Genomic DNA, 21015 nt, shown 5'->3' with positions numbered 1-21015 from the left:
GCATCAGTAAGCAACATATTCTGGCCAGTGCTCTCAAGTGTCATTCATGTTTATTTCAGCTTTCACAACATTGCAGACTACATTAAATATATGTTGGAGGCAAACTTTGACTCAAACTGACTTGAAAAACTCATTCAAAATAATAATGTCTTCATTTTCTGCTTGATATATCCCTAGTAGCGATAAGGAAATGGAATATTGTCTCTGTCTTTTAATTCAGTCGTGGTCACCAAGTCATGGCATTTTCAAAGCAATTCCTCAAATAGAAGAAAATGCATTTTTTGTTTCTTTGAGGAACAATAGAAACTCAAATTGAATTATCTTTGTATAAATATCTTGGCTTACACCTTTTAAAATAATCGTGTTTGAACATACTGGCAATTGTTATGGTTCATAAATAATATCATCAACAACTAATACTTATTAAGAAGTATCTGCATTTAAAGCTGTTAGATACATTAAATAGGCATCCTAAACAGGATGAAAATGCCTTATACAAATAGAAAAATTCAAACAACACAAGCTATAAAATAGAGTATAAAATACAACCAATATTTATTTACATTAAACATACTACTTTTCTTTCCGTGGTTTGTGTTCTGTGAAATTATGTGGGAGAAAAATTTCATATTGCTTTTACTTAAATGAAAGAACCAGACAAAGCCTGGAAAGTTTGCTGAATTTTATCAATAACACGTATTTGTAAATATATTGTGTGCTTATTATTTTTGCTTGTCTTTCATTTTTGGGCACAGCATCTCCAAATTTTGGTCACAAATGATGCATAACCCTCCAGAAATACAGCTTAAAAGAAGAAAATGAAGATGGAAAAATAACATACTAAAAAATGTACAAAAGCTTTTCCCATGCTTAATCATTCTATCCAGAGCCACATTTATGTTTCGGATCCTTTTACAGCAGAGGTTGGGAGGTCAATAAAAATATATGATGAGATTTAAAATAAATTAAATTGTATATTTATTGTTAATCTTTACACACGAGTGAATCAACTAAAATTCCTTACCCAAGGATGTGTTTCTCAAACAGCCTTGATATAGAATTAACATATAGAAACTTCTGAGGGAAATGTAAGGAAACAATATAATGGTCATTGCTTTAGAACTAAAAGACAATTTTAAAAATTAATTCAAATATTCATTAGCATCCAGGAATATGTAATAGGATTTTTGGTCAAGCTCACACTACCTCAAACTTGCTGCTCACAATATGTCTTAAGGCAATTTTTCCAACCCTTTTAGATCTGAAAATAGAAGATTAATGTTCAAGAAAATGGAGAATTGCAAGACACCATAGAAAATATGAGATTTGAAAATCTGACCTTAGTCTAGAAGACAGGATTTAGACAGCAGCATACCAAAAGTAAATGAAAGAAAGTAAATTATATCTTTTTGACACTTCAAATTCTTGTTGCCTAAATCTTAGTCAAGTTGAAGCTTATAAGATGATGATGTATTTTCGTAAGAAAAATAATTTGGTGGATTATTTAGTAGGAAAATTTATGAAGATAATAAAAAAACTGAGAAATATGATTCAATAATGGGGTAAAATACAATAATAATTTTAAAAAGCAACATTGGGTAAGAACCTTATTTTGTTGTATCCACTGAATTTCCTTTCACAATGTAAATTATTATGGTTATTGTGCATATACAGGTGATACGGCTGTTATGTTTCCCATGGTTTAAATAAGGAGTCAATAGGAAAATGTAAATGAGGCTCTATCATTTTCTAAAAGATAAGCTGTCCTCTGAAAAATCTATTTTCTCCTTATGTGGCTTACTTGCAATTGTCAGGAATGAGACAGATCCTAACATTTTTTTGGGCACCTTTTATATATCAAGTATCATGCTAGAAGTTGTAAATGTGCTGTCTTAGTTGTAATCCTACAAAATACTGACCTAATTATTGTAAAACTACAGCAAATAAAGGTAACTTTCTATATATAGATAAAAGGTATTAGTTTTTATGATTCAGATTTAGAATACTATTGTGAAAATTAGCACATTTTCTAAATATGTATATTTTATGCAAAGATGGAAGATAGTTAAAACACACAATGGGTGCTTAGGAAATACAAATATATTGCTTTGTGAATTAACTAGATTGGCAAAGTGGGTTAAGTAGATCCATGACAGTGAGACTCACTTTTATTTTTAGTTTGTCACATCTTACATTTAAATAATCATATGACTTTGAGGCCCACTCAGTTGTGAATAATAATTGATTTATTTTGCCTGCTTGTAACTAGAAAGTCTGTGTAAATTTTCAAGTATGTTAATTTATTCACCAAAATATTTTTTGCTACGATTTAAAATAAAAGAAGAATGATTACAACTTGACTTACTAAAAAACGAAACTTAATTTATAAATTATTGTATATAATATAAGTAACAAGGAATTCAAAATGATAAAAGCTTGATTCAGTGATATTTAAATCACAATTTATGTGATTCATTCAACTAACATTTATTAAATACTTCTAGTTTTTGGATTTATGCTATGACAGATGCTATATGCTTGAGTTCTTCTTTTAAGGCAGTTTCTGCCTTGTTAGACAAGAGGTAGACATGGATATGAACAAATAAAAATGTATACCCATTAACATAATAATAGAAGTTTTAGTACAAGTTTCTATTATGATAATATATCATATAATAATATTATATTATGATGGTAGTGCATTGGAGAAAGCCCTGTAATTAATTTGACAAAGGGACAAGGTATCAGGGCAGTCTTCAGATGAGAGGTGATATCAGGTCAGCAAAGTGGGGGCATATAAGTGGTGGGCATCTTACACTGCATAAAAAGCAGTGTATAATCCTGAAAGCCTGGCTCCAAAGGCCTATCTATAAGTACTTATTATTTCTGAAGCATAATGGTAACAAGGAGGGAGCACCAGCAGATGAGATTAAAAATGTGGCTTTAGACCTTAGGAAGTCATCAGAGGAATTTAAGCAATCAGTTGTATTATATGATTTATATTTGGATATGATTATTCTGTAAATTGTATAGACAGTGAATCAAAGGTGAAATGTGAATTAAGAGGCTACTGCAATTATACAGAAAAGATAGAAGCCCTTACCCAAGATATTGACAGTTGGGGTTTTAAAGCCAATAGAATCTGAAGACCTTTAAAAGACAAAATGAATTGTCTCTAATGCCCAAACAGGTGTGAAAGTAGCATTGAAGTATAGGGGATAATCAAAGATAACATACAGCTTTCTTCTTTAGTGACTGGGTGAACAGCTGCTATGACATTACAAAAATATAATGTAAAGAGGGAAGATAAGGTGTGAAGTAGAAAAATAAAGTAGATTTCGACTCAGTGCATATAATTTCACCGTGAGGCATAAAATTGGAGCTGTTAATTTGCAGCTGGAACTCAAGAAAGAGATTTGGGCTCTTTATATGGAAAACCTGGGAATAAAGTACGGAAAATTCTCACAGGAAGATTTGAGAAACAAGTAGGTACTATCAGCTAAAAGGTGGATGTCCGTATGTTGTGTAGATAAGTTCCACAATTCAGAGGTGTGTTACATATCTGAAATATAAATTTTGATAGATTTGGTGGCAATTAGGTAACTGAAAACTCAACAGTGCACCCAGGTGTCAGTGAGAAAATTATAAGGCATCATTTCAAGGTTGTAGATGGAGAGAATAATCATGAGCAGGGATAGGCATGTCGTCATGTACCAGAAGTTAATGTGTCAGGATGAATTTGATGCAGATAAATTTATAGAGAAAGAACCAAAAAAAGTATGAGTTTCCATAGCTGATATGTTCTCTTTTATTTGAATTAAGAAACAAGGTGTGCTTAAAACATTTAAAACAAGAGGACAAGTAGGTGAAGACAGTACCAAGATGGAGGTAGTTGCTCTAGCCTCACAATGCCTCAGGTCCAAATGTAGATTGGAAAACTATATCTTGCTTTCCTAAAAGCTCACGCAGAGTTCCCCTATGTTACTATTTTTTTGTTACATTCTTTCTACTTTGGCAGGAAATATAATATTTATATACTTTTCGTCTATTTATAACCCCACCTATTATTTCATCTTCATTCTAAAATTAAAATATAAATTTCTCACTATCGGTTAATTTGCCAAAACTTTCCCAGTCCTCTCTTGGTTGAATAAAGCTCTAAAAAATCTGGTAGATTCCTTAGAAGAGCACATGTGTACAATTCCTTTAGTTCTTCAGGTTCAAAGCTTTTTTCTGTAGTCTATTCACTCAAAGGAAAGCTTAGGGCACTCTTACTTCCTTAAGTTTCTTAAAAATACTCCTTCACTGTTGTCTTGCTGTACATGTTGCTTTGGAAAGTTGAGATACCTTTCTAATTCTCATGCTTTTTGTGTGTTATTTCAACTTATTACCTGGAGGCTCTTAATATTTTTTCTTTTAATTTTCTGTAACAAAAAGATTTATTAGAATTTGTCTCAGAGTGATTGTACCAGGTCAATGTTCTTCAGTACCCAGTAATCCCTTTCAAGTCTAGACTGGAGACTTCTTTATTGTTGAAAACTTTTATAGATTATACTTGTAAATAATAGTTCTGTTTCATCATTTTTACTTGCTTTTTCAAGGATACTAAATCAACTTATTTATTTCTCTTCCATGTCAGCTACTTTCTCTCTGATCCATTTTGTTTATTCTTTATTTCATTTTTATTCTGTTAGCATTTTTTCCTGTTTTTGAACGGGTGGGTTGCCCCTCCACACCTGTAAGCGTTTCTCGTCAGGTGGAATGAGAGACTTGGAAAAGAAAGAGACACAGAGACAAAGTATAGAGATAGAAAAATGGGCCCAGGGGACTGGGACTCAGCATGTGGAGGACCTGTGCTGGGACCGGCCTCTGAGTTCCCTTAGTATTTATTGATCATTATCGGGCGTTTCCAGGAGAGGGGGATGTGGCAGGACAATAGGATAATAGTGAAGAGAAGGTCAGCAGGTAAACATGTGAACAAATGTCTCTGCATCATAAACAAGGTAAAGAAAAAAGTGCTGTGCTTTTGATGTGCATATACATAAACATCTCAATGCATTAAAGAGCAGTATTGCTGCCAGCATGTCCCACCTCCAGCCCTAAGGCGGTTTTCCCCTATCTCAGTAGATGGAATATACAATCGGGCTTTACAGGGAGACATTCCATTGCCCAAGGACTAGCAGGAGACAGATGCCTTCCTCTTATCTCCACTACAAAGAGGCGTTCCTTCCTCTTTTACTAATCCTCCTCAGCACAGACCCTTTACAGGTGTAGGGCTGGGGGAACTTCAGGTCTTTCCCTTCCCACGAGGCCATATTTCAGACTATCACATGGGGAGAAACCTTGGACAATACCTGGCTTTCCTAGGCAGAGGTCCCTGCGGCCTTCCGCAGTGTTTTGTGTCTCTGCGTACTTGAGATTAGGGAGTGGTGATGACTGTTAACAAGCATGCTGCCTTCAAGCATTTGTTTAACAAAGCACACCCTGCACAGCCCTTAATCGATTTAACCCTGAGTTGACACAGCACATGTCTTAGGGATCACAGGGTTCGGGGTAGGGTTACAGATTAATAGCATCTCAAGGCAGAAGAATTTTTCTTAGTACAGAACAAAATGGAGTCTCTTATGTCTACTTCTTTCTACACAGACACAGTAACAATCTGATCTCTCTTTCTTTTCCCCACAGTTTTTAGTCAATGCCCTTTATTAAATTTTCATTTGAAACCTTCTACCTTGAGCCCCTTATAATTTATCTTTATTTCTGATATGACTTTGTCATTTTTTCTGTATCTTTCCTGAGTTAATTCATTTTTTGTTTCATTAAAATCTGTTTTATGTCCATTTATAATTCTAGTATTTATATTTCTGATTCAAGGAAGTTTTTATATCTTCAATTGTGTGTTTGAGTATATTTGATTTACTGTATTCGGTTGCTTTCAGGGGGAAAATTGTTTTCCTCAGAAATGCGTCGTTTCCATTTCTGATTTACCACAATATTGTTGTGTAGATGTGATTGACTTTTTTCTATTCCTATTCATTTCATGAACAATGTTTATGGTTTAAGAATGCCCTCTTCTGTACTCTTCTCTACAATTTATTTTATAGATTGTGTTGGTATGGATAAGACACATTGTTGTTTCCTTCTTGTTTCTTTGGGATTCTTCATTTATTTTTTTGTTGTGGTTCTTATTTTTATTGTGAGGGAGATACATACGTATAGAGAAAGAGTAGCACTCATTAGAAATTAATTATTGCTCTCTGAGACTGCTACTTTCAATCCCAAACACTTTACTTTTTTTTCTTTTTCTTTTTCTTTTTTTGAGACAGAGTCTCACTCTGTCACCCAGGCTGGAGTGCGTTGGCACGATCTTGGCTCACTGCAACCTCCACCTCCTGGTTTCAAGTGATTTATGTGCCTCAGCCTCCCAAGTAGCTGGAATTACAGGTATTTGCCACCATGTCTGGCTAATTTTTGTAATTTTAGTAGAGATAGAGTTTTGCCACATTGGCCAGGCTTATTTCGAACTCCTGGCCTCAAGTGAATGCCCACCTTGACCTCCCAAATTTCTGGGATTATAGGCGTAAACCACCACACTCTGCCCCCACACACTTTAAAACTCCTCATTTAATCAGTGCTGTGAACTACCAAGTGTGTTTGGTACTTTAACATTGAATGTTTGACTTTCTCCTTGCAGGTGGACTCTGTGGGAATTTTTCTTTTTCTCTATTTCCAGACAAGTAAGAGTATAGCATTCTCTTTTTCCAATTAATGTTGAAGGTATATGTCATGCATGTATGGTTTTATTTTCATCCTTGATTTTATTTATAGATTTTTAGAGGGAGTGTGGAGGAAATTTGGAAACAGGCAACCACCATTTTTTTCCAGACATTATTATACAATCTTGACATTAGAATTGACATACAGCTTAGAACTCATCAGTTTGAAAATCCTAGTTTACAGATGAAGAAGTGGGAGGCCAGGAAAATTAAGTGAATAGATCAGAGTCAAATAGCTGTTATAGGTAAAATCTGACTAAATGGTTTTCTTATTACAAGTCTCATTCTTTTCTCAAAAATTGATGTCAGTATGTAGAAATATAATGTATGTTATTATATTATATAGATAAGCAATGCTTTTGTATATTAAATTTAAATCAATATTTTTAGTTTTCATTATGATCCTTAAAATAATGAATGATCAAGATCGTAATTGAGTAACAATCATAATAGAGATATTGGAACTGATGAGATTAATATTTTCAGTACATTTTACAATGAGGCAACACCCAATGAACTTGAAATGTGGTTGTCTTAGTCCGTTCTGTACTGTTGTAACAGAATACCTGAGAATGGGTATTTTATTTAAAAAAAAGAAATGTATTTCTCACAGTTCTGAGGCTGAGAAGTCTAACCAAGGCATTGGTAGGTTTGGTGTCTAGTGGGAATAAAGTATCTGTTTCCAAGATGGTGCCTTGAACGCTTCATCCTCTGAAGGGGAGGAATGCTGTTCCTCATATGGCAGAAGGTGGAAGGGTCAAGAAAAAGAGCCCACTTCATGAGCTTTTTTACACAGGCATTAAACCCACCTTTACCCTTTAAAGGTCCTACCTCCTCATACCATTACATTGGCAATTAAATTTTAACATGAATTCTGGAGGTGGACAAACATTCAAAACATAGCAACAGTTTACTTGATGGAGCCAACGAGTTGTATGAGCTTTTTTTAATTTTTCATGTACTTGAAATAAAAGAAGATTAATAAGACAGACCACTTTGTATTTCAAGATATTTGCAATAATTTGAAAGCTAAAATTGTGCTTTTGTGTTGATTTATTATTAATAAAACTGTCTATCTTTAACATACAACTTGCTTTTAGTAGAAATCTAATTTAATTTTGGTTCATTGTAGTGTTCAGTTACACATGAGAGTAATATATTTACACTATTGTACATTAATTTTAGGTTGTCACTGCCATAGATTCCCTTTATTTTAGTAATATGTATGTGTGTGAAAAAATATTTTATAATTTTTTCAACTTAAATAAATGTTCAATGGATTGTGGGAAAATATGGGATTTTTAATTATAACTCTGATGGTAGCCAAAAGAAAAAATCTTTTATGTACTCTCAATAAATCAAATGATGATTCATTACAAGACAACCAAAATATCTAATTAAATAAAATATTTCTAAAAGTGTAATTATTGAGGTGCAACTTATTAAAAATATTATTAGCCAATTATGTCCAGTGAAGGTTACAGGCCTACAATGTCCACAAATATGATATTCAAATCTTTTCTAATATTTTCATGGTATTCATAAGATTTAAAATTCAGCACTTTGTTTTTAATTGATGGTGCAAATGTGAAATTTAAAATGTAATTACCTTTTACATATCCCTGAAATGTGGCTAATATCAAAATGTTTCCATAGACCAGCAAAGTGGATCTCATGGCCTTAACAGTGTCTGGAAGGGACGGTGGTAGACAAGCTCACAGAGTTAGTAGCAAAGATAGGAGCATCCCTGTATAGATCATGCAGGTCTTAGAAGTGTTTGGATTTTACCCTGAATTCAGAAGTCATTGGAGGGTTTTGAGCAGAAAAGTGATTATGTGTTTTATATTTTCCAGAGATCACTCTGGCTGATATATTGAGAATATATCATAAGAAGGCAAGCACAAAAACAGAGAGAGTAGTTAGGTGATGTTCCAAGAATCTAGGTGAGAGATCATTCCATATTAGAGCAAGGTGGTAAGAGTCAGAAGAGCTAAGAATGTGAGAAGAGTAGGTTCAGGGAAAAACAATTCAAAAATTATGTTTTACATGTATAAACTTTGAAATGCCCATTTATATCCAAATAAGCAAGCATATGGAGTAGGTAATTGGATATGTGAATAAATAGCTGAACATTGAGGTTGCCACAGATGATCTATTGTGCCAAATGCTACTGAGAAATCAAGAAAGATGAAGACTGAAAACTGACTACTGATTTAACAGAATAGGTGACCTTGACAAAGCCTGATGGGAATGGCTTTATGAATGGTTGGTGAAAGAGGAGTTACCCATAATAAACACAGACAACCCTGTAAAAGAATTGGAGGGAAACATGGGGCAAAGGAATTTTGTTTTGTTTTGTTTTGTTTTGTCTTTTGTATGAAAGATATTCAGCAAGTTCTCATGTTGATGTGGAAAGTCTAGTCCACTACTACTCAAAGTACTGTTCTACAAGCTGTACGTGAGCAGTCCACCAGGAGACAATGAGTTTGTGCCAGAATGTAACTCAGTGCACTATTTCTTTCATTTACAAAGCTTCACTCTAAAAATGTGTCAGGACAATAAAACACTGTGTTTAAGGACATCATTGATTTACATTCTGGAAGAAGTCCTTATTTTGTAGGAGATTATAACAGACATATGGTGAGCTTTACTTTTAGTCTCATCAAAGAAGTTGAAGGAATAAAATTGTTTAAGCAATAGGGAAAAAGGACAGGTATAAAAAGTGAAAGCAACATAGCCCTCATTAGTAAATCTTCACTGTTTTTTAGTTTTTACGAACTCTCACCACACCCAGGTTTTCTGTGCCATTCGTTGCCTGCCAGGATCCTGACTGACATATTTATTAAATCTTTATTAATGCCTCTGGATATCAAACTCTCCTGCTATTATGCATATACTGTTTATTTATATTTATATATATTTATATTATGCATATTTATGTGGCTTTGTAAATCATCTGAGTTTTGATTAAAAGAAAGAAGAACATAAACTATATGTCAAATTCATTGCAAAACACTAGATAGTCATAGCTGTCCTTTAAATTCACCTGAAGTACTTTAAAAATATATCCTACCCAGCAGATAATTTGATTGTATTCATCTAAATTGGGCCCAGAGATTAATATTCTTGTTTCCCTAGGGTATTCTAATGTACAGCCAGACTTGGAAACTACTTTGCTAAGAATTCAGAGATATAAAAGGCTTGCTCAATGAACTCAAGGAATTAACATTCTAGCAGAGGGAAAGGGGCTTGTAAATAAATAGCTTCATTCAATGGGTGTTAAACAGCAAGGTCATTTATGAGGGTATTTAAAATTGATATTAATGATAAAATTAGGAGTAGATACATAAGTGGATAATCATATACAGAAGAGTTGGACATCTTCAAGGAAACTATACCCTTGGACATTATTAAAAATAATAATAATAGCTATACTTACAATTCAGTTAGTAGGTATGAAATATGAGTCTAGTGCTTTGCTTATATTAATTTATTTAAACTCCAAACAATCCTACTGGGGTAGGTATTATTACTCACTAGTTTTACATGTGAGGAAACTGAGGCATAGAGAGGTTAAGTAACTTGTACTTGGATGTATAACTAGTAAGCCAAGGTTTGGTTCCAGGCCATATGGTTTCAGTGTCCATGTTCAAAACTTGAGTCTATTTCTTGCTAATAAATTGTCGGTAATTTTCCAACCTGCCTAGGTATCATCCTATATCTTGGTTCTGTTAAACTTGATTTATTGTCCTAGTTTATGTTGCTCCACACTACCTTCATGCTTCTCTGCTCAAATTAACCACTGTCTCTCTCCAAGTAGCCCAATGTCAAATTATTGTAATATTGTTTCTGAGGCATTTTTCTGTAAATCTTTGTAAACTCAATTTGCTTCTCTACTTTCCTTTTCTATTGTCTTCATGTACAGCTTCATAATCTCTACTTTTCATCATTGTTTTCCTATATTATTACTCCTTACTTCATTTTTACTTCAGGAATCCCAAAATTTACTATAGAAAACAATTATCAGTGATTACTCTACCATTTATAGTACATTTCTACAAGCTAAACCCTGATGCATAGTCAGTTATTGTTGAGTTCCCTTTGTCTTTCTAAAAGTCTTACAAGCTAAGTCACTATTTATATTTTGTAGTTGTTTCAGAGGTTTGCTATCCTGCTCAAGATTGCAAATCTAGTAAGTGGTTGAGCAGGGATTTAAACCCCCCATTTCTAATTCCAGAGTTCTTAATGATCACAGTTTGCTGTGCCAATAGAAAGACTGATCTCCAAAGTTGGAACATAAGTTCTGTTTCTCTGCTGCTGCTTCTCCTTTTTCATTAACTTGCCCCCTGGTCATAGCAAAGTGGCCAACTATCAAAGGAAATCAGCCTTTCTACCCCTGGGCTATGAAGTGCAGCAGAAATGCTTTCTCAGGGTTTTGCTTTTACCGTTTATTGTCCACTGAATTATAGTTACATTGCTAGTAAAGATGCTGATTGTTAAAAATTGACAGCATAGCCCTCATTAGTAAATCTTCTCAGGTATGAGTTGCTGAGACATCTTTATCTATAGCAGTAACTTTTTGCTACTTTATAAATATATGTATTTTTTCATTATCAAATATATAACTTAACAAATTCAAGTGCTTAGAAAATATAAAAATAAAGAAAGACACAGCAAATTATGAGAGAGAGATTAATTTCTGTTCCTGGATTTAGAGAGAGGTCTCTGTTCACTCTAAGTGCTACATCTGACATTCCAACTTCTGACCAAAAAAAAAAATATATTCCAAGAATATCTCTTCTTCTTCTGGACAATTTAATTACCATTAATTTTTTCAGTATGGAGAAACATGGATTAGATTTAAATCAGGTAGGTTAAATTTTTTGAAGTTACTTTGTTTAATGTATGTGATTATATTTTTTCCCTCAAAAAGTAAATCTGTATCCAACTCCTCTCCACCTGTGGAGAGTAGAGAGAAGTGAGACCTTTTCTTCAATACAATCATTGATCCTGTAGAAATTTTTTCCTTCATTGGAAACTCAGTGAGGGAAAGGCTAAAGGAAGTGAGAGCAGTATGGGGAAGGTTAGCTCTGAGGCATAAAAGAAACTAAACACTTTAGGGAAAAGTTAGTGGTCCAAATCATCAGGTCTTACAGGCAATGGAAAACTCTAGTCTCTCCACTAATTACCATCCAAAATTATTATATATTAGAGTCAGGTGAAGCATGCAATATTCCTTGATGTTCAACGAGCATCTGAAAAATATACCTAGGAGATCTTTCCGAGTAGAAATACAGGACCGCAGAGTTGCAATCCAGATGCAAAGAAAGGAGCTGGCTTGAACTAACAAATGTTTTCCAATGAAAAATTGAAAAACAATTGAGACTGAGGACATGGGAAAAAATTCTAGCAAATAAGAACTTAGCCATGGTAAGGCTTTTGAAAATGTTTATTAAGTGAAGAATGAATAGTCAAGAAACATATTGAACATGAGTGGTAGAAATTAGGTTAGGAAGCTGCAGCCTGACACTCATATAGAAAACGATGTAATCACCTCCTGCACGCTGGATTATACTGTCTTATTATTTCACTGTTCATGAAACAGTGTCCCGAATCAGGTACTTAATAAAAGAATTCAGTCGCACACATTCAACCACCTAATGATGATATTCATCTTGGCATCATCCTATATCCCTCCCTTGTTTTAGTTCCTGCATTGACTCTCACTAATTCCTTCTTCCACCAGCCCTTCCGTATTTCTCAAATCCAAATTCAGCCTCTTATTGGTAGTTTTTTTCAGCCAAATCCTCAAGACCTCATCATTTTTTGCCTGACAATTAAAAATCATCCCTCTGATTTCCCTGTTTTTCTCAAAACCATACTTTCCATTGCTCACAATAAAATCTGAAATATAATTCTGACCTGTTCCTTCTCCTTTTTACTTTTAGTGACTCCCCGTCATCTGTTGTGTAAAATCTAATATCTTTATAAAGGTATTAAAAGCTCTTCATGATCAGATCTTATGACGCTGTCCACCTTTTTTCCTTGTTTTTCCTCTTACCTCTCATTCACTATGTGCACCAGAAATATTTTGTTTCTTGAATGAGCCATGCTACTTTATATCTCCCTTCCTTGCTTGCTTTATATACTAATCTTTTCTCTACATATAATTTGTAATCTTCTTCTGATATCCCCTCAACTCAACCATAGCCACTACACTTCCCAGAGTCTAAATGATTACTCTAAACAAAATTATTTACTAATCTCATTTGTAAAGACACCTTAACTTTCAAACTTATTAATGCTAACAGCAAAGGTTTTGAAATTTTTTTGAACATACAACATATTAAAAAACAAGTTCAGGAATACTTAAAAAATGAGTATGTATTTACTTACTATGTATATAGTAAGTTATATTGACTAATTTTTAACAATATAATAAAAACTCTTCATAAACCATTTCATTGTAACTGCTTAGCCATTACTTTTAAGAGAAATAACAAATGAAAAGTTTTTGAACTGTGTACACTTAGCCCTCAAGTTTACCATTGAGCCTAAACATGATAAATTGAATTTTAAAGGCATATTTGAAAGACACCTTTTATTTTAAAGGTGTGGTAAAATTAGACTCAATTACTTTTAGTTAAAATGTAAATTCACCGATGTTTGGAAATAAGTACTTTTTTTTTTAAATCCTGAAACTCACTGTTTATTTTTCTTTACTTTGTTCTAATTTTGGTATTTTTATTAAAACTCCAAAGAATCATATGTTGATTTTAATAAGATCAGAAACAAGAAGTTTTTAAATTTTTGCTTAAAATGAAAATGCTGTTCCCTCCACTCATTGAATAAAACCTTTACATCTCTCCCCAGTATGTAAATATAGCAATGGAAGCCATGGATGTATTTCTAAAAGACATTTTTTCCCACTAAAATTTCCATTTCTTAGTTCATTTCAACAGTATAGAAATTGCTGAAATGTCACTTGTATTAATCCTGTTGGAAGTGGTTCGTTTTAAAAACCATGTAGAAAAAGTAAGATATTATGTTGGACCACTAATAAATTCATTTTGAAGATATAAAAGTTTAAAACTTTAGGGAAATTCAGTATTTTCAGCTACTTATAAGTTAGGAAGAAAAGGCTTAATTGGAATTTTTTAGATATGGAGCTGCCAGCAAGAAAAAAAAAGCTAAAGAATTTCATGTGTTGCTAGGAAAATTTGAGAAGCATCTATGCTTCATACTCTTGTCCAGAGCCCAATGTGTATTCTTGTTACATTTTGAAAGTAATTTAGTGCCCACATGAAACAGAGGGTTATCCTCTATACCAAAAATTTTGTTTCTGTTCATTTAGAAGCAAAGCTCAATAAATAAAATAAAAAAAAATTATAATAGCAAACTCCATTTTCTTTTAACACGAAGTAACTAACATATAATAATATAGTTTCATAGGAATAAAAATAGAAGTAGAAGCTCTTATTTTTTATCTAGGATGCATTATTTTAGCATCTGGATCTGAATAGTTGTTTAAAATGAAAATGTTCAAATATTCAAATATTATTCAATGTTCAAATGTTCAAATATTATTTGAATAAAATGGTGATGCTATTAAATTTAAAATAATCTTTGTGGTACTAGTAAATATATTAGGATAATTTAAAAAGTAGAAGCATTTACTATCCATTTATCTAACAATATTCTATAGGAGTTTTACTCTGTAATCTATTTCCTTTGCCTCTTTCTTGAGCTCTGTACCAAATTGTTAATATTTTCATCAGGTTCACCACAAATTTTTAAGCTTAACTTGTCCAAGTCAAATTTGTTACATGCACAACAAGATTTTTTCATTTTATCATTTTAATAAGTAATTTTTTGAGCAGATGCCAAAGATTTTTATTTTTTTAACTTGACAAAATATTAGTATTTATCATCTACGACATGATATTTGAAATATATGTACATTGTGGAATGAATGAATGTAGGTAATTAATATATATGTTACCTCACAATGTTATCATTTTTGTGGTGAGAACACTTTAAATCTACTCTCGTAGCATTTTTCTAGAAATATTGTTAATACCTATAGTCATCAGGTACAATACATCGCTTGAACTAATTAGTTCTATCTGACTAAAACTTTGCATCCTTTGACCAATATCTTCCCAACACACCATCGCTAAGATTTCAGCATCTGGTTACCACTATGCTACTCTCTGTTTTTATGAGATCAACTTTTTTAGACTCCACATATGAGTGATATCATGCTGTATTGTCTTTCTGTTATTTCTGGCACTATAGCCCTCTCACTGGTCTCTCTATCCCTATTATATGCTTTCTTCCTTTCAAATTTATCTTTATGAAACACAACTTTGATTATGTAATTTCCTATGTCATTAACAGAAACCAGCCAAAATTCAAACAAACAATAACAACTTGATAACTTTAAGTGGTTTATTTCATGTAATCTATTCTATAATAAAGTACAAACTTCTTCGTATGCCATATTGTATTTTTTACAATCTGCCCACCTCTTATTTTCAGTGTGTTTACCAAGAAAATATAAAACAACAGAGAATCTGGCAATTTAATTAAATAGAAGTCAGGTAAAGAGGTCTACTAAATATCTGTTGCCTAGCTTAAACTATTTAAAAGCATTGACAATTCACTGCCATATCCTCCATCACATTTAACACAGTGCTATGGACAGAACAGCTGCTTGATAATACATGCTTGAATTGAATCATCTAATCCGATATCCTTTATTTATGACAATACATGTACAATGAAAAGTAAAAGAATTTTCCCAATATGGGTAAAGAATCCAAAACTAGAACTTAAGTCTCTGTAAGCAAAGTAACATATCTGCTGCCTCGTTCTCATAATTAAAAAGATGATGCAGATAAATTTTAGTTAAAGACTTCACATAATAAAGTAGTTCTTAGTTCAGAAATAAGTGTGTATGATCAAAGACACAAGAATGCCATCTGGTGGTGACTTACGCAAAGCATCTGTATTAAATGACCTCTACTGCTGGCAGAAGGTAAACCAGAAGGTTGAGGTTCATAATAACAACTTTTCAAGCATGATAGATTATATTAAAGGTGAAAATCTTATAAATATACTATTGTCCACGTAGCTGTCTTTGTGAACTAAAACATTCACCTTCAAGATTTTCGGTTGCAGTAAAGTCAGGATCCACTGGCAATACCACAAGGCCAATTGCATTGATTCCTCATGCACTTACATACACATGCACATACACATACACATATATACTCACATGGATACATATGTATATGGAACATGGTGTATTAATACACTAGCACAACTTGCACAAATGATAAGTAAATAAATATGGGTGCATGCACAACGTTTCACTGATGGAGATGCAAAATAAAAAATGTTTGTATAGTATAGTTTTAAAGACATGAATTAAGCACAGACTTAAAAAAAAACTTTTTGTAAATATGGTTCACAACTTTTTAAACTGCTTTCATACAAATTACAAGAGCCAGAATTTTGGCAAATATTAACATCTTGATTTATGCTTGACTAGGAAAATAGAAGAGGGGTAACACTTATCATGAAAAATATTTACAGGATATTTTATCTCTGGTATAGATAGATCCTAGTAGCTTACTTTGAAAATATTGTGGATCAGACAGTAAAATGAAAAGGAGCTAAAAGAATAAATTAGCTAAGTAATGTAAAAATACATTCTACATACTTTTCTAAAAACATATTCATAATATTGAAGTTAAGAATTTAGCAGTGTATTTCAAACCAAACTAGAATCAACTTTTGAAATAATTCCATTGGTGGTTTCCCTTTTTTTAAATGATAGAGATATTACTGTTCAGTGGCATGTTTAATGAGAAATAAAAGAAACTATGGCATGAAACTACCAGTAACTACATCTCGAGTTGGCTCTATGTTAGTAAATAAATTAGAAAAATTGAAAAGGTAATTTGAAGGTGTCCCATGGAAAATTGGAACAGAGATTGTGTCTGCTTCTGTTGAAAAGGGATATAAGTGAACTCTTAATCAGTCTTCAGCTTTTTTGTCATGGACATTCTTGTACTGACAAAGACCATGTTCGGAGGGCACGATTCTTGAAGCTCATTTGAATAATCACATCTTCTCCAAGGGAATCTTGTCCTTTACTATGACTTTAAAAAGAAGAGTTTCATCCAGAAACAATGCCTCAAAAGACTTTTAACTCAAAGCAGAATGCATTTGAACTAGAAAACCCTTGCAGATCTGCTGGGCTATCCCTCCCCTAAAAGAGCAGCACTGGCCTGGCTGTTCTGCCTCAAGATGAAGATTGGTGCTGGAGATTATGGTGGGAATAAGTCTACCAAAATGTAAAAACACCTTTAATTACAAATTGCTTTTAAAACTCATTGAAGTTCAAGGGGAAATGTGATGATAAGAATATTTTTATTTGTACAATAACTGATTGCATCCAAGCAATGCAATATGCACTGTTAATTTAATGGGCTTCAATTTCCATTAGCAAATATTATAAATCTTTTATTAATGGACGTTTTACATTTATATGTAATAACTTTTCATAGAAGTTATGTAGAAAACCTTTTGGTTATTGATAATTTAACAGTCAGGTTTAGCATGAAGTATAAATGAAGAAAATAATGTGACAACTGACACATTTCATTTTTCATTGAAATATTTTACGTTGTCCCAACAAATAACTGAAATAAAGTGCCTGCTTGAAGTCATCTGGGTCTATCTTTACAAAAGGAAGTGAGAAATCCTTCTTCTCCCCATTCTCCTAGTCCCTGTCAGTGACTGCTCTTGAAGAATAAAAAGTACATATTAATTCATCTCACTTTGCTAAATAAAAAGGTTTCATTCCTAAAAGTTTGATCTAATGTCTGCTTGCTATATTGATTGTTATTTGTCACAATATCTGATTCTGAAAATTTTTAGCAAAATTGATTATAGAATAGTGTTTTGGGAGTGTGGTGGCAATGAATGCAATGGTTAAGAATTTAGTACTGGAGTCACATGGCCTGGTTTATTATTTGGATTCCAATACTTATTAGCATTGTGACCTTGAAGAGTTACTTACCTTGCCTCAGTTTCCAAACCTGGAATATATGATTCATAACAGTATCTCATAGTGTTGTTGAAAGAAGCACATTTAAAGTACTTAGAAAAGTGCCTGACACCCACAACACTAAATAAATAATAGCTATTATTCTGAGAATGGTAATTATGAGACACAATCTTGCTTAAAAATAGGATTTCTTTCAGTCAAGATTATATTCTGACAAAGAAAATTACAGTGAATAGCAAAAAGATCACTAAAAGGCTGCGAAAATAACACATTTTACAATAATAGTTTGAAAATAAAATCAATTTATAGTTTCCAAATTGAATAGCATATGGTACTTGATACATTAATCAAATACAGAATGGGTATTCTATCACAATATTATGTTCTATCACCATATGCAATTGCTGTTTAGTAGCTAATCTTTAAATATTGCCAGCAAAGATCAAATCATGTAGTAAGAACCAAATAGAATTTCAAAAATTGTTTCTGTACATTTCAATGTAATATAAATGTTATGAATCACCATAGACGATTTCTTTATCAGTCTCAAGACTCAAATCTACATTCTGGTTTCTCTTCAGGTTGTATAAACCTTTAACTATTTACGAACCCTGAGTTCTGACACTAATAGAGAATTTTTGAAGCATATTATAATTATTTATGATGATAATATCACTAACTCTTCTATAGTACAGAGAGCTTTTCCTAGGATGGGTCATCAAAGGCATGATATGTGTATCACTTAATATAATTGGAAAAGCCTCCTTTATCTCACAGATGTTTATTTTATTGATCCTGTCTTCCTCCTGAAAGTCAGAACCAAGGAGGACTTTTATTAATTTCTTCAGCTGTAAATTTAGGCCTTTTATCACTAACTTGCCTTAATTAAACCAAAGCTTGTGTAATAGAGTAATGCAAAACTATAAATCTAAGAACAGTATTACTCTGATAGAAATCTATATATCTTCGAAAACATGCTATTTCCAGAGTTATAAAATTAAACCCTGTCTTTGAATTATTATTTTGTGTAATAATTTCACAAACCAATTATATAATCCTGCCTCAACACAAATACAAATAGGAAACACAAATTCTGTTTTGCATTTATTTCTGTATCTTATAAATGCAAATCATTGCTTAAGTTTGTTAATAAAATAAATACCATCCCCATTAAAAACTAGTATTCATCAAACACTTTTCATGTGTGAGATACCATGTTAAAATCTTCATGTGCATTATCTCCTTTAAATGTTATCATGAGGTAGAAATTATTATTTTCTGTTTAGCATATAAAGAAATGAGGCTTGAATAGCTTAAATAACTTGGAAAATACCTTATTATTATGAAGTTGAACAGTAAAGTTTGAATTCAAATGGTGTAACCACAAAGCTTATATTTTACAATATAGTTCTCACCTGGTCAGTTTCTCTATTTGAGTAGTTACTTAAAATATATGATAAGAAATTGATCCTGCAGAAACTGGACTCGTGTCAAGATTAGACCAAAGATTTAATGTTAGCTATATTTTGTGACTTAATTTATATTAGAAATATAATGAAGTAAAATTAGATATATGCTAAGAATATTTTAAATTTTGGGAGTTGCACTTTAAAAATCATATTTTTTTCCTTTTTTAAATTTTTTTTTTTTGAAATGGAGTCTCGCTTTGTCACCCAGGCTGGAGTACAGTGGCGCGATCCCTGCTCACTGCAGCCTCCACCTCCCAGTTCAAGCAGTTCTCTGCCTTAACATCCCAAGTAGCTGGGATTATAGGTGCCTGCCACCATGCCTGGCTAATTTTTTGTATTTTCAGTAGAGATGGGGTTTCACTATCTTGGCCAGGCTGGTCTTGAACTCCTGACATTGTGATCCACCCGCCTCGGGCTCCCAAAGTGCTGGGATTACAGGCGTGAGCAACCGCACCCGGCCCCTTTTTTTAAATCTTTGAGATGGAGTTTCATGCCATTGCCTAAGCTGGAGTGCAATTGCCTGATCACGGCTCACTGCAGCCTGGAACTCCTGGGCTTAAAGGATCTTCTTGCCTCAGCCCCCTGAGTAGCTGGGACCACAAATGTGTGCCATCATGCCCAGATAATTTTTTAAACTTTTTTATAGAGATGGGGTCTCGTCATGTTGCCCAGACTGGTCTCAAACTCTTGGGATCAAGCAATCCTCCTGCCTCAGCCTCCCAAAGTGTTGGGATTACAGGTGTGAGCCACCATGCCTGGCCTAAAAATTATATAATTCCTTAGATGCAAAGGATCAATCTTGAAAATCTCTTATTTAGAGACTTCTGGTCTCGTCTGGTATGTAGGGATCACCTCTCCTGTGCATAAGAGAAAAATACTGAACAAACTAAAAATCAACTGCTCTTCTTAGATCCATCAAAGAACTGAGGTCACAGAGCAAACTATTTTCCCCCAAATTAAGAGACAGCCAGATACAAAAAATATTTTAAATGAAATAATTACCCTATATTGATGATGGGAGCTTCTGTTACTATATTTGTTTGCTAAAAAAGAATGAAAGAAGATAATACAAGACCTCTTATATGTAAGCATACAGAAATAAAATTATTTCTTAGTTTTTCAATATTACATATATGTATATATATACATCTAAATATATATGCACATATAACATCGTCACAATAATTATTTGCACTTGAAGTAACAAGTTATTTTCCTTCTATGATAACTTCCTTAAACCAAGCATTATTTTGCAAACTTCTATGAAAAATATAAGCAAAAACAATCATTTAAACATTAATAAAAAAAGCTTTCCATAGATCAATGTGTTGCATTATTATCCACCGTGTTAATATACTAAAATGTTGCCAAATTCTTTAGGATAAAATAAAGTATTAAAAGTTTTTTATGGTGAAGGTCAAAATAAAATATATTTCCAAAAAGTAACTCAAAATAAGAAGGGAGGGCCAGGCACAGTAGCTCATGCCAGTAATCCCAGCACTTTGGGAGGCCGAGGCAGGTGAATCATTTGGGGTTGGGAGTTTGAGACCAGCATGGCCAACATGGTGAAACCTCGTCTCTACTAAAAATACAAAAATTAGCTGGGCATGGTGACGTGTGCCTGTAGTTCCAGCTACTCGGGAGGTTGAGGCAGTAGAATCGCTTGAACCCAGGAGGTGGAGGTTGCAGT

The 21015-nt window shown here is 33.0% G+C and overlaps 1 protein-coding gene across 9 annotated transcripts in view, besides 1 other annotated feature; it reads left to right on the top strand.

Annotated features, from left to right (window-relative positions):
* The window catches only part of CSMD3 (CUB and Sushi multiple domains 3), a 1214012-nt gene that overhangs the window by 659082 nt on the left and 533915 nt on the right, over positions 1-21015 (top strand). The gene's annotated exons all lie outside the window — the stretch shown is intronic.
* Positions 4885-5584: an enhancer, noted in NCBI's record as "OCT4-NANOG-H3K27ac hESC enhancer chr8:113784503-113785202 (GRCh37/hg19 assembly coordinates)". NCBI's record gives its function as "activates a minimal SCP1, AML or CMV promoter by ChIP-STARR-seq in naive H9 embryonic stem cells {active_cell/tissue: H9 hESC(naive)}" and the evidence as "EXISTENCE:reporter gene assay evidence [ECO:0000049][PMID:30033119]".

This window comes from Homo sapiens, chromosome 8 (genome assembly GCF_000001405.40).
Source record: "Homo sapiens chromosome 8, GRCh38.p14 Primary Assembly".
In the NCBI taxonomy this organism is placed as follows: Eukaryota; Metazoa; Chordata; class Mammalia; order Primates; family Hominidae; genus Homo; species Homo sapiens.
The sequence above is the reverse complement of the archived record's forward strand: the minus strand, read 5'-3'. Positions and strand labels throughout refer to the sequence as shown.